This window comes from Homo sapiens, chromosome 11, assembly GCF_000001405.40.
Source record: "Homo sapiens chromosome 11, GRCh38.p14 Primary Assembly".
In the NCBI taxonomy this organism is placed as follows: domain Eukaryota; kingdom Metazoa; phylum Chordata; class Mammalia; order Primates; family Hominidae; genus Homo; species Homo sapiens.
In genome coordinates this window covers 1,434,303-1,446,900 of record NC_000011.10, presented here as the reverse complement: position 1 = coordinate 1,446,900, position 12,598 = coordinate 1,434,303, and the positions used below count along the sequence as shown (strand labels likewise).

At 66.7% G+C, this 12,598-nt stretch overlaps 1 protein-coding gene across 29 annotated transcripts in view, besides 1 other annotated feature; it reads right to left on the bottom strand.

The window, feature by feature from the left end:
• BRSK2 (BR serine/threonine kinase 2) overlaps positions 1 to 12,598 on the bottom strand; it is a 72,756-nt gene that overhangs the window by 15,789 nt on the left and 44,369 nt on the right. For all 29 annotated transcript variants that reach the window (NR_046331.2, XM_017018533.2, NM_001440665.1 and 26 more), the window contains exons 2-12: positions 10,767 to 10,861; positions 8,510 to 8,595; positions 5,973 to 6,113; positions 4,295 to 4,411; positions 3,762 to 3,795; positions 3,498 to 3,566; positions 3,266 to 3,412; positions 1,899 to 1,930; positions 1,443 to 1,607; positions 1,233 to 1,330; positions 994 to 1,144 (exon numbers count right to left, since the gene is read on the bottom strand). Coding sequence is in view for 28 of the 29 variants with exons in the window: in XM_017018533.2 (XP_016874022.1) it covers positions 994 to 1,144; positions 1,233 to 1,330; positions 1,443 to 1,607; positions 1,899 to 1,930; positions 3,266 to 3,412; positions 3,498 to 3,566; positions 3,762 to 3,795; positions 4,295 to 4,411; positions 5,973 to 6,113; positions 8,510 to 8,595; positions 10,767 to 10,861 (1,135 nt within the window). In the remaining variant the exon portion in view is untranslated. The remainder of the gene's footprint in view (positions 1 to 993; positions 1,145 to 1,232; positions 1,331 to 1,442; positions 1,608 to 1,898; positions 1,931 to 3,265; positions 3,413 to 3,497; positions 3,567 to 3,761; positions 3,796 to 4,294; positions 4,412 to 5,972; positions 6,114 to 8,509; positions 8,596 to 10,766; positions 10,862 to 12,598) is intronic.
• Positions 9,315 to 10,053: an enhancer, noted in NCBI's record as "H3K27ac-H3K4me1 hESC enhancer chr11:1458078-1458816 (GRCh37/hg19 assembly coordinates)". NCBI's record gives its function as "activates a minimal SCP1, AML or CMV promoter by ChIP-STARR-seq in naive H9 embryonic stem cells {active_cell/tissue: H9 hESC(naive)}" and the evidence as "EXISTENCE:reporter gene assay evidence [ECO:0000049][PMID:30033119]".

The window sequence follows — 12,598 nt, the reverse complement described above, 5'->3', positions numbered from 1 at the left end:
CACATCTCCAGTACAAGGAGGGGGCCCTGGGGTGCTGAGGCCCAGATCACAGGGCAGACCAGAGACTGCTGCCCGGGCTCCTGGACCTCCTGGTGTGCTCCTGGGCCCAAGGGCTGTCCCCAAGTGTTGGAAGCTGCCACCTGGTGAGGGACGTTTGAGCTCATCCCCAAGAGGCCGCACCGGCTCCAAGGATTTGCTGAGGGCCTCGTGCGGGCAGCCCAGCCCTGCCCCCACCCAGCAGAGGCTCCAGAGGGGCTGGGTGCCCTTCCTCCGGCCACGGGTCTGCTCATCACTGCTGAGTTCTGTGATGTCCCTGGCCACACACACCACACTTGCCACCCAGAGACGGGCCCAGCATTGCTGGGACCAGGGGGACAGGCTTGCTGGGCTGATGGCTCTGAGCATGGTGTGACCATATCACAGCTCAGCCCAGCCAAGCTTGGGTCAAGCCAGCCCAGCCCAGCTCAGCCCTGCCCAGCCTGGCTCGGCTCAGCCAAATCCAGTTTAGCCCAGCCCAGCCCTGCCCAGCTCAGCCCAGCCCTGCCCAGCTCAGCCCAGTCAAATCCGTCTCAGCCCATTCTAGTGCAGCCTAGCCCAGCTCAGCCCAGCTCAGCCCAGCCCCGCCCACCCTAATTCAACTCAACCCTGCTCAGCCGCGCAGTCCAGTACAGCCCAGCTCGGCTCAACCAAGTGCAGTCTAGCCCAGCCCAAACTAGCCCAGCCCAGCCCAGGCCAGCCCAGCTCAGCCTAGCCCAGTCCAGTCCAGCACAGCCCAGCCCAGCTCAGCTCCCAGCCCAGCCCAGCCCAGCTAAGCCCAGCCCAGCCCAGCCAAGCCCAGCCCAGCCCAGCCCAGCTAAGCCCAGTTTAGCCCATACAGCCCCACCCAATGGCCTCAGCCGAGACCCCAGGCCAATGGGTAGCGATGAGCCAGGCGGCAGTGCCGCGCAGCCAGGGCCCAGGGAGGGAGGCCCAGCAGCCTCGGGGCACACACACCTCTGGCCGTGCTGGGCCATCTCAATGGCCCGCCGCGCAGGCACCGGGGAGCCGCCGTCCGTCACGCTGAGCACCTCCATGGATTTGCGTTCTGGCCGCCGCTTGCCGTGCCGGTTCAGCATCGGGGAGTCCACACGCTTCCGGGGAGGGTCTGAGTACAGACGAAGGTCAGGCCAGACAGCCCCCGGACCCCGGTGGGGCAGTGCAGGCCGGGCTGGAGGCCACCCCTGGACCCATACCTATCTCGTTCCGGGGGGGCAGGTCCTCATCCTCCTGGCTCGGGTACCTTTCTTTCCGGTCCAGGAGGAGGAAGTAAATCATCTTCTCCTGGTTCTCCCTACAGCGGGCGAGAGGCGCGAGACGCGCTGGCACACGGGGCCGCCGGCTCCTCCGGGGCAGCGCTCCCACCTCAGGCCCCGTGCCCCACCCGGGAGCAGCCCCAGACGCACTCCTCGGACAGCAGGTCCTGCAGCAGCTTGTTGCGGTCTCGGAAGCAGCCCAGTGAGTGCATGCTGTCCAGCACGTCGGGGTCGATGTCCTCCAGGCTGGGCAGCGAGCGGATCTGCACCTTGCGAGGAATGGGCTGCTCTGGTTCGGGCTCATTCTTGCCCCCTCTGTGGACACAGGACGGGCCACCCGCTCATCAGCTCCGGCCGGGCCTGGGCGGCTGCGAGGGTGGGACGCCCGCCCTCACCTGGGGCCCTTCATCCTGCCACTCTCCCTGTGCCCAGCCCGGGGAGGCCTCCTGCGTCCTGCCCGCACCCCGCACCCAGCGCAGGCCACGGAGGGCCAAGGCAGGGCAGGACCTGCGCTGGGCCGGCGCCCTCCCCCCGCCTTTCCTAGCAGGGCCTCCAGGCCACAGCAACAGGCAAAGCAGGCGATTAGTGGGTGGAAAAGCTACTTACATATACCATATGTGTTTCTGAATGTGCTCTAGCTACAAGGAAAGAGAAACAGGGAGTTAGTACGGACGAGGGACGGAAAGAGCCCACATTAGGAGGTGAGGGGGAAGGCAGGGGCGCTGGGAGCACGGAGAGAGCAGGAGAGGGTGAGGGCAAGTGAGTGGGGGGAAGGTGGGGAGGAAGATAGGGAGGGGGCTGCGTTCCCAGAGGCTCAAGGCCAGCACCCCTGCTCCTGCCTCTCCCAAGTGGAGAAGAAAACACACACCTCAAGGAGGAGAGAAGTCGGGGGAGCTGGAGTCGGAGGGGGTGCTCCAGGTAGGGGCAGGGGCCTGGGGAGCGGAGGGAGAGGGGGAGGGAGGGAAGCTGGAGCCAGGGCAGCCCCAGGTGCCTGTGCTGCCTGGGCTGGGCCCCTCCGTGGCTCTAGGAAGGAACCAAGGCAGGAGAGCAGGGAGCAGCCAGGAGGGAGCTGAAGCCAGAAGAACCCGGCCCACCTGTGCGGCGGGGCAGGGCTGGGTGCAGGTGCAGGCAGGAGGCTGGGAGGGCCGGCCAGCCACACGGCCCCTTCTCTCCACCCTGACTCAGGGACAGCTCGTGGGGTGTGAGGCAGTGGCCACTTGGGAACAGGTCAACGCTACCCTGGAAGGGTCAGCCCAGAGTGTGACCTGCTTCTGTCAAGTGGACACGTGCGGTCCCCACACCAGGCAGCCCTGGAGGAGGTCAGGACCAGCAGCTGGGGGCTACCTTTGGCTCTTGCTAGCCCCCACAGCTGCTGGGGGCACTCAGCAGAACTATTCACGCTGCCTGGAGCTTGCCCCAGCAGCGTCTGGAGGCAGGATGGCCGTGATGGGGAAGCACCAGTGCTTTTGTGTAACTTATAGCCAGGTCTCACCTACATGTGCACACAGCCCCCCACACCTGTGCACACCCCACACTGGTACAAGTGCTCATAAGCACCTGGACACACCTCCCCACACGTGCACATGCCCACACCTACGCCCTCACCCAATCACATGAACCTGGGCATGTGCCTGGGTACCCCCACACCCTTGAACACACACCTGGGCATGTGCCTACATTTGTGCACCCACACACCTGAACACGAGCCCACACACGCCTGGGCACTCCCACACCTGGGTGCGCACACACACTTGAACACTCACCTGGGCACCCACACACGGCCATGGGCCCACATTTGGTCACCCACACCTGAACACAAGCCGACACCTGTGCACACGTCCACACACCTGGGCACCGACCCACACACCTGGGTGCCCACACGTCTGGGCACACACCTGTGCACACACAGGCACACGCCCGCCCCCGCGCCCCCCCGCCACGCTCTGGGGCCGCCCCGCTCCGAGGGCACGCACCGTGAGGCGGCGTGCGGCGTCCACCTCGATCATGCCCCGTAGCAGACTCTGGCAGTCGGGCGGGATAAAGTGCGGCATGTGGAACACGCCCCGCTTCACCTTCTCCAGCAGCTGTCGCAAGTTGTCATCGTCGAAGGGCAGAGCCCCCTGCGGGCGGCCGGGTGTGGGGGTCAGCGTGGGGGGGCAGGTTTGGGGAGAGGCCAGGGCAGGGTTGAGGGGGCCAGGGTCTCACCACCAGCAAGGCGAACAGGATGACGCCGCAGCTCCACACGTCCGCCTTCCGGCCGTCATACTTCTCCCCCTGTGGACAGCAGTGCCCGGGCTGTTGGGGGGCGCAGGGCAGGGCGGGGGCCTTGGAGGGCCTGGGCTCAGAGGGAGTCGGCCCGGGGACAGGCAGCCTAGCAGCACCTGGGGGTGCGGCAGGCTGGGGTCCCACCAGGGTCAGGTCCCCGCCACCCTGGGCCCCACAGAGCTGCACGCGGCGGCGCTGACTCACCCGGATCACCTCGGGGCAGGCGTAGTGGGGGGACCTGCGGGCAAGGGCAGAGGTCAGCGGCGGGGCTCCGGGCGCTGCCAGGCCCTCCCCCCAGGGTGATGGTGCACCGCAGGGCCCTCAAGGAGGCCTCCAGGGCTGTGGTGCCAGACGCCCCCACATTCCCTGCATCCCCAGGCGGGCTTTTGGGAGGAGATCAAGGTGGGGCACTGGGTCTCTGCTGCGCCCAAAGCTGTCTGCCCACTCGGCTGGGCAGGGGCCAGGGGGTCCCCAGGAGAGGGGCATGTAAGTGGGTCCCAGCCTCTCTCCCAGGCAGGCCAGGGCCAGGGCTGTACCCCTACCCTTACTGTGCCGGGAGGCCTGTCTCCCCACCACCACCAGGCTGTGGGGTACTGGGAGGCTCAGGCACATTGTGGGGGGCCTGCCTGTGGGGTGCCGGGAGGCTCAGGCAGGCTGGGGGCCTCTCAGTCCACTGGCTCCTCTTCCCCCAGCCCAGCCTGTCCCCCAGCCTCTCTCCAGGGCAGAGGGCCACGTACCCACAGCTGGTCTCCAACAGGCTGTCGCCAACCTGCAGGGACGCCATGCCAAAGTCTGCGATGCGGATGTTGTTCTTCTCGTCCAGCAGGAGGTTTTCAGGTTTCAGATCCCTGTGGCTGGGGAGGAGGGTGGTGAGGCTGAACAGGGCCAGTCTCTGCCTTGAGCGCCTCCCCGCCCTGGAGACCCCCTGCCCAGAGCCCACTGCCTCTCCAAACGCCAATCACACATAAGGGCCAATAGCAGCCCAGCCTGGTGATGTCATAGGCAGCCAATCAGAAGTCGCCTGCCTGGTCCGTTTGGCTCTGGCCTTTGGTCAGGCATCCCTGTTTCTCCTGCCATGCCCTCCTGCACCCTGGCAGGCTCCTTCCTGCCCCCTCCTGCTCCCTAGCACACCTGCTCTGGCCTAGACCAACCTAGGGCCCCCAGGCACGTAGGGATGCAAGCAATGGCCCCTGGAAAGGCCGAGGGGCTCCCAGAGTGCTTGGGTGGGTGCCAGGCAGAAAACTTCCCGACACACTGCCCACTCGGGAAAGGGGAGGTGCAGGGGGTCCTCAGGGGGAAAAGGGAAGCACCTGGTGCACATGGTGCACTTGAGAGGTAGCTAATGGGGTGGGGGGGACAGTGCACTTGAGGGGTAGCTAATGGGGGGGACGGTGCACTTGAGGGGCAGCTAATGAGGAGGGGATGATGCACCTGAGGGGTAGCTAATGAGGGGGATGGTGCACTTGAGGGGTAGCTAATGGGGGGACGGTGCACTTGAGGGGTAGCTAATGGGGTGGACGGTGCACTTGAGGGGTAGCTAATGGGGTGGACGGTGCACTTGAGGGGTAGCTAATGGGGGGGAGGGGATGGTGCACTTGAGGAGTAGCTAATGGGGGGGACGGTGCACCTGAGGGGCCACTATGGGGGGACAGTGCACTTGAGGGGCAGCTAATGGGGGGGATGGTGCACTTGAGGGGCAGCTAATGAGGAGGGGATGATGCACCTGAGGGGTAGCTAATGAGGGGGATGGTGCACTTGAGGGGTAGCTAATGGGGGGACGGTGCACTTGAGGGGTAGCTAATGGGGTGGACGGTGCACTTGAGGGGTAGCTAATGGGGTGGACGGTGCACTTGAGGGGTAGCTAATGGGGGGGAGGGGATGGTGCACTTGAGGAGTAGCTAATGGGGGGGACGGTGCACCTGAGGGGCCACTATGGGGGGACAGTGCACTTGAGGGGCAGCTAATGGGGGGCACGGTGCACTTGAGGGGCCGCTAATGGGGGGGATGGTGCACTTGAGGGGTAGTTAATGGGGGGGATGGTGCACTTGAGGGGCAGCTAATGGGGGGGAGGGTGCACTTGAGGGGCCGCTAATGGGGGGGACGGTGCACTTGAGGGGTAGTTAATGGGGGGGATGGTGCACTTGAGGGGCCGCTATGGGGGGACGGTGCACTTGAGGGGCAGCTAATGGGGGGACGGTGCACTTGAGGGGTAGCTAATGGAGGGGACAGTGCACTTGAGGGGCAGCTAATGGGGAGGAGGAGATGGTGCACTTGAGGGGCAGCTAATGGGGGGCATGGTGTACCTCGGAATAGCACCATAGGGGGTGTAGTCCTTGGGGCACAGGGGGCATCTGTGGTAGCGCACTGGGTGTGGGGGTCCCTGGGGAGTGGGGGGCACCAGGGGTGGGGCCTCACCATATGGAGTGGCTGTGGCAGAAGTCCAGCGCAGAGATGATCTGCCGGAAGAACTTCCGAGCCTCCTTAGGCGTCAGCCTCCCCTTCTTCACCAGGTAGTCGAAGAGCTCACCACCTGACACGTGTTCTAGCACCAGGTACCTGCAGGAGACGGGGCCACCAGTGCGCCCAGCTGTGGCTGCCCGCCGCCCCTCCTCATCCCAGGGCCTCCCACAGCCGCCTCCTGGCCCAGCCTCTCTGCAGGCCGCCCCCATCCTCTTGCTGGCTGGGGGGGCAGCTGAGAGGAGCCCTGACTATGGTGGATCTCAAACCATCTGGGCTCCTGGGGGTGGACCTCAAATGAGTCTTCAAGGAGCCTGGGTTGGGGTGGGGTGGGGTGAGGGTGGAGGGACAGGTGAAGGGATGGTTCTGGGGGCACAGCCGCCAGGGAGGGTTTGGAACCCACAGGCTGAGTGTGGCGGGTGCTGGGGCCAAGGCTCGGTGCATGGGGTAGCCTCGGGACTCTGCCCTGCCTGCTCTGGCCCTCACACCCTGTGGTCCTCAGTGGCACAGGCACCGAGCAGGGAGACCACGCAGCCGCATCCAGGGGCCCAGGGACTGTCTGGGCCTCTGTGGGGGGAACAGGAGGTGTGAGGGCCAGGGGAAGGGGGTGAGGAAAAGGTTGGCCTGGCCCTCCCCTTCCTGCCCTGGTGGGCTCCCAGCACCGCCCCCGTGGGGTCTCAGCCACATGGAGGGTCCTGAGGGGCTGGTTCCTGGTGAGAGGCCCGTGGGACGCTGCATGCAGCTGCTTGGGGGCCGCTCCACCCAGGCTGAACCAGCTCGGGGGGGAGGCCTGTGAGGGTGGTGGCCCCTGGTGTGGCTGTGGTGATGTAGGGGGGCTGTACAGCCAAGGGGGTGGCACCTTGGTGCATGCTCAGAGCTGCCGTGCGGACTGGGATGACTGGCTGTCCCAGGAGCTGGTTTTGGCAGGAGTCAAGGGCCCAGTGTGGGGATGGGAGCAGAGGTTGTGGTGAAGCCCCCAGGGCAGGGGAAGGTGTGAAGCCCCCAGGGCAGGGGAAGATATGAAGCCCCCAGGGCAGGGGAAGGTGTGAAGCCCTCAGGGCAGGGGAGGGTGTGAAGCCCCCAGGGCAGGGGAAGGTGTGAAGCCCTCAGGGCAGAGGAAGGTGTGAAGCCCTCAGGGCAGGGGAAGGTGGTGGGGGCCAGGGTGGGATTCTGGGCAGGGGGGCGGCCAGGCCCAAGGCTCAGCATAGGCCACATGGTGTCCAGAGGGGGTGGGACAACACCCAGGGCCAGACCTCGGGAGAAGCCGCGAGCCCGGCCATGCCCACCTCCTGGGCTCTTTCCTGTTCTTGGGCCTTGGCCTGCTGTGCCCATCCCCCCCGCACTCCCCTGCCCTCCCCTCCGAGAAGGCCTCCCCAGGACCCCACTGCACCGGCACCGTGTCACCATGAGGAAGCCATGCCCCTTGTCACAGTCCACCTTGCCAGCATCAGGGCCAGGACCACCCCCGCCCCCCCAGTCCTCTGGTGACAGTTTCTGAGCCCCTGCTCATGGTGGGGCAGGCGGGCTCCCCACACCCCAACCCTGGGTTTCCTCTCCCCAGCTACACACGAGCTGGCCACCTGCACATGCTCCCCACGAGAATGCAGAAACCCAGGCCAGAGCAAGCGTGGACGTTGCTGCTGGGGGAAGGGGAGCTGCTGGGTTCAGCCAGGCCCTCAGCCAGCTCACCCTGAGGGCAGCCCCCAGCCCAGCCCTGTATGTTCCCTGCTCCCTCAGAGCCTGATGCCTCAGAGATGCCCGGCTAGGATCACCTGGCAGGTCACGCCGCCGCCCTGGGACCAGCGAGGGTCAGATGAGGCTCAAGGCCAGACAGCCCTTGGGCAGCAGCGCCTCATCTGTCAGAAAGCCCCATCAGAGCACACAGAGGAGACTGCCGTGAGTGACCACTGTGCCCATTCCCAGGAGCTCCCTGAGGCTGGGTCTGGGGGGATGGGGTTCACAGCCAGGCATGCCTGGGACAGGGTAGGGATTTCTGCTGGCCTCAGCGGCTGCGGAGGTGACACTTTCAGCCACACTCAGCCACGGTCCAGCCAGGGCGGGATCCTGGTGGCTGTGCCTCGTGTGAGGGAGCCTCAGGGATAGAGACATGGCTCACTGCCCAGGGCTGGGGACGTCCTGGGCAGAGGCCAGGAGGCTCAGCGTGGCCATGTGGGGAGGGCCAGGTGCTCCTGCCCCTTGCCCTGAAACTCCTATCTCCCCTCCAGAAGGTCCTGTTCCCCCTTGCCAGCCTCAGGCTGGTGGCTCTGCGAGCCTCCACAGACCAGGTCTCCGGTTTGGTCCAGAAGCAGAGACCACAGCAGCCTGGGCTGAGACCCTACCCAGGCAGGTGTTCATGCTAGCAGGGCCAGGGCTGCTGGGATGCAGCAGGCGCCCCTGGCCTCCAGCCCCTGTGCTCCCCAAGCCCCAGACACCCACCCCTGCAGCGACAGCTGCCACCTCCGCCACCCCAGCTCTTCAGACCCAGCAATACCTACAAATATTTTTTGTTTTCATAAACGTCGTGCAGCTTTAGGACGTGGGGGTGCTCAATGAGCTTCAGGATCGCGATCTCCCGCTCCACCTGCATGGGAGAGGCCAGAGAACATCACGCTCACAGGGCTGGGGCACGCATCGCTCCCCACAGACACTGCCTTTGGTGCCAGCTGTGGGGGTCGCAGGGGCCTTTGGTGCCAGCTGTGGGGGTCGCAGGGGCCTTTGGTGCCAGCTGTGGGGGACGCAGGGGCCTTTGGTGCCAGCTGTGGGGGACGCAGGGGCCTTTGGTGCCAGCTGTGGGGGACGCAGGGGCCTTTGGTGCCAGCTGTGGGGGACGCAGGGGCCTTTGGTGCCAGCTGTGGGGGATGCAGGGACGTGGGCTGCTCAGCTGGGGCCCTGGCTGGTGGAGAGGGCAGAGGGCAGGGGCCTCAGTGGAGGGAGCCCAGGCCGCCGGGCTGACACCAGCCTGTAGGGCTGAGGACTGGGGGCCCCTGGAGCAGGAGGGCCCCTCCCCACACTGCCCAGGAAGGCAGGCAGCCTGGGCCTCTCTGTGAGCCCAGCCTCAGGAATGGGGCCTGGAGCTGTTGGAGATAAGGCCTCCCAGGCTCCCAGCCAGTCGGATGCAGGGCCCTTCCAGGCAGGCTGTGCCTGGGCTCCGCCCTTCCTTACGGTGGAGGCCTCACAGGAGGAGGGGCCGGGACAGGCCTCTGTGGGCCCCATGAGGTGGGGGCAGGCATCCTGTTGTGTGTGGGACATACAGTAGGTGTGCAGGCCGTGGGCAGGGCACGTGCCCCCCATCCACAGGCTCCCAGCTGGTACTGTCCCCCAAGTGGGGAGGGCCCCAGGGAGGGGCAGAAGTGACCCCAGAGGGCACCTGACTCAGGACACCCAGTCCTGCTCCGAGGTAAGGGCAGGGCCCCCTCCCTCAGACATGCAAGCCTGGCCACGGGCAGCTGGTGCTCCGCCCAGCACAAAGAAGTGGCCGTGTCAGTGGTGGGGCCAGTGAGGCCACGGCCTGGGGTCCCAGCCCTCAGGAGCCAGCGTGGACCAGGCTTTGGAGCTAGGGCCAGTCTTGTGATGGGGTCCCAGCCCTGGCGAGTTGGCCAGCCTGTCCCCAAGTCCTTCCCTCCCAGGCGGACATCTGTGCACAGCGCCTGCAGGTGACAGGGACACCTCCCCTTTCCCGCATCCCCAGGCCCTCCTTTAGTCGGGGCTCACAGGCACCTCCCAAATTCAGCATGGGACTCTCCCCAGCTACGCCCCGCACTGGATCTCTCTGCCAGGCGCTGTCCTGGCCCCATCACTCCCAGGGCCTCTGTTTCTCCTCCAAGGCAGGGTGGGACCCTGCCAGCCCCATCCAGGCAGCCCTCAGCAGCCCTTAACCCCACCCCCACCTCCCCATAGGGTCCCCAGGCCTCCCCAGTTTAGTCTGGTTAATTCCTCCACACCCCAGCAGCTGGGGGGTGCCCAACATGTCACAGTCCCCAACCCTTAGCACCTTCCACAAGCCTCCCCTCTCTTGGCCACTCCCACTGGCCTCGTCCCCGGGTCCTGCCCCACCCGCAGCCCTGCATGCCAAGGAGCGAATGGAGAGGAAGGGAGAGGAGGGGGCTCGACTGGCCCCAGTGCTGGGAGGGTCGCACGCTGCCAGCCCAGGTCCCACTGTGGGTGGGACCCGGAGCAGCTGGGAGCCCCAGCCTCTTCCTCTACACCCAGGGTCAGGCTTCCCAGCAGCCGGGGCCGCCCCCTCCCCACTGAGAGGTGGGTCACAGCCCAGAAACCCTCCACCCAGGGGGCCTGCCTGGTCTCCATGGTGACCAGACACCACCGGATGGAGCCGACGGAGGCCAGGCCCCAGTGGAAGAGGAAGGTGCAGCTCCCCTCTGCCAAGCTGTGCCCTGGTAGGAGAGGGGTGCTCTGAGGCAGGGAACTCCTCTCCATTCTAGCTGGGAACACTGAAGCCCCGCCTGCTAGCACAGCAGGTCCTGCAGCAACTGAACTGCCCAGCTGCAGCCTGTCCCCTCAGGGGTGCCCACTCTGCTTGGAGGCAGGAGAAAGGTGGGCAGGGCTGGAGGGAGGAGCAAGAGCAAAGGCACCCTACCAGGGGACCAGCAGGGGTGTGGCGGCCCAGGAGCCTGCAGGGCCCGCCCCCCCACCCGCATCCAGCACCGCAGGTCCCCACAACCTTGGCTCCCACCCCTGTGCTATTCCCCGCCCCACCCCACCGCCGGCCCCGCCTCCCTCCCCGGCCCCACCCACCTTCATCAGCACCGACTCGCTGAGCTTCTCACGGTTGACGATCTTGATGGCCACCTTCTGGCAGGTGACGCAGTGAACCCCCAGCTTCACCAGACCTGCGGGAGAGAAGCAGCCGCGCTCAGACCCACCCAGGGTGCCTGCAGCGAGCACCCAGCCGGACAGTGCAGGTTGGGGGCCTCCTCCCACGTCCTGGACAGCAGGGGTCCCACCCGCTCCAGGGCCGGAGGCCCCTGCCCGCCTGGGTCGCTGTCCAGAACAGCTCAGTGCTGGCGTCACGCTGCCCCTGCAAAGCTGTGTCTTCCCTCCACGCCGGCCCTTTGGGCTTCTCAGGTCTCTGTGGCCCCCCTCGCCCTCTCCCCATCCCAAGGCACCCAAATCCCCTCCCTTCAGCCTTCAGCCACCCTCAGCTGGGAGCCAGGGTGCCCTCGAGGTGCCTGCCTGGCCCAAGAAGGCTGTCCCCCGCACACCCTGCCGAGACCCCCACCTGCAGCCTTCTGCAGAGATACCTCAGCCGCAGCCCTCCGCCGAGACCCCCACCGACACCCCTCCTCCGCCGAGACCCCCACCGGCACCCCTCCTCCGCCGAGACCCCCACCGGCACCCCTCCTCCGCCGAGACCCCCACCGGCACCCCTCCTCCGCCGAGACCCCCACCGGCACCCCTCCTCCGCCGAGACCCCCACCGGCACCCCTCCTCCGCCGAGACCCCCACCGGCACCCCTCCTCCGCCGAGACCCCCACCGGCACCCCTCCTCCGCCGAGACCCCCACCGGCACCCCTCCTCCGCCGAGACCCCCACCGGCACCCCTCCTCCGCCGAGACCCCCACCGGCACCCCTCCTCCGCCGAGACCCCCACCGGCACCCCTCCTCCGCCGAGACCCCCACCGGCACCCCTCCTCCGCTGAGACCCCCACCGGCACCCCTCCTCTGCTGAGATGCTCTGCACCTGAGCCCCGGCCCTGTGTTCACCCCAGGACACCAGGACGGGCCCCAGGTAGCTCCCCAGGCAGCACTGCCCTAGACCTCCACGGCCCGGCAGCCCCTTCCTTCCCAGACCCACCTAAAAGGCAGGCAGGGTGCTCTGGGAATGTGCCTTGGCTGGGCACACGGTCCCGGTCCCCCTCCGCGCCTCGGCCCACCCTCCCTTTCTCCTCTCCCCACTCTTTTCACAGCCAGATACTTGCCCCTGCCCAGGACAGCCCGGCCACACCCCTGAGCCCCACCTGGCCTGAGCTGTGGCCTTGACACTGGAGATGCCCCCAGGAGCCCACAACCCAGGCCCTTTCCTACCATCAAAGGTCCTCAGGCGCACTCATGTGCCATTCCATGTTGGGGCATGTTGGAACCATGGGGGGATCAGGTTATCACAGGGGACCCCAATCCTAGGTGCGCCCAGACACCCAGAGCCGGCCCAGGTTATCACGGGGACCCCACTCCTAGGTGCCCCCAGACACCCAGAGCCGGCCCAGGTTATCACAGAGGACCCCACTCCTGGGTGCCCCCAGACACCCAGAGCCGGCCCAGGTTATCACAGGGGACCCCACTCCTGGGTGCCCCCAGACACCCAGAGCCGGCCCAGGTTATCACAGGGGACCCCACTCCTGGGTGCGCCGACACCCAGAGCCGGCCCAGGTTATCACAGGGGACCCCACTCCTAGGTGCCCCCAGACACGCAGATCCTGGCCCATATTATCACAGGGGACCCCACTCCTAGGTGCCCCCAGACACGCAGAGCCGGCCCATATTATCACAGGGGACCCCACTCCTAGGTGCCCCCAGACACGCAGAGCCGGCCCAGGTTATCACAGGGGACCCCACTCCTAGGTGCGCCC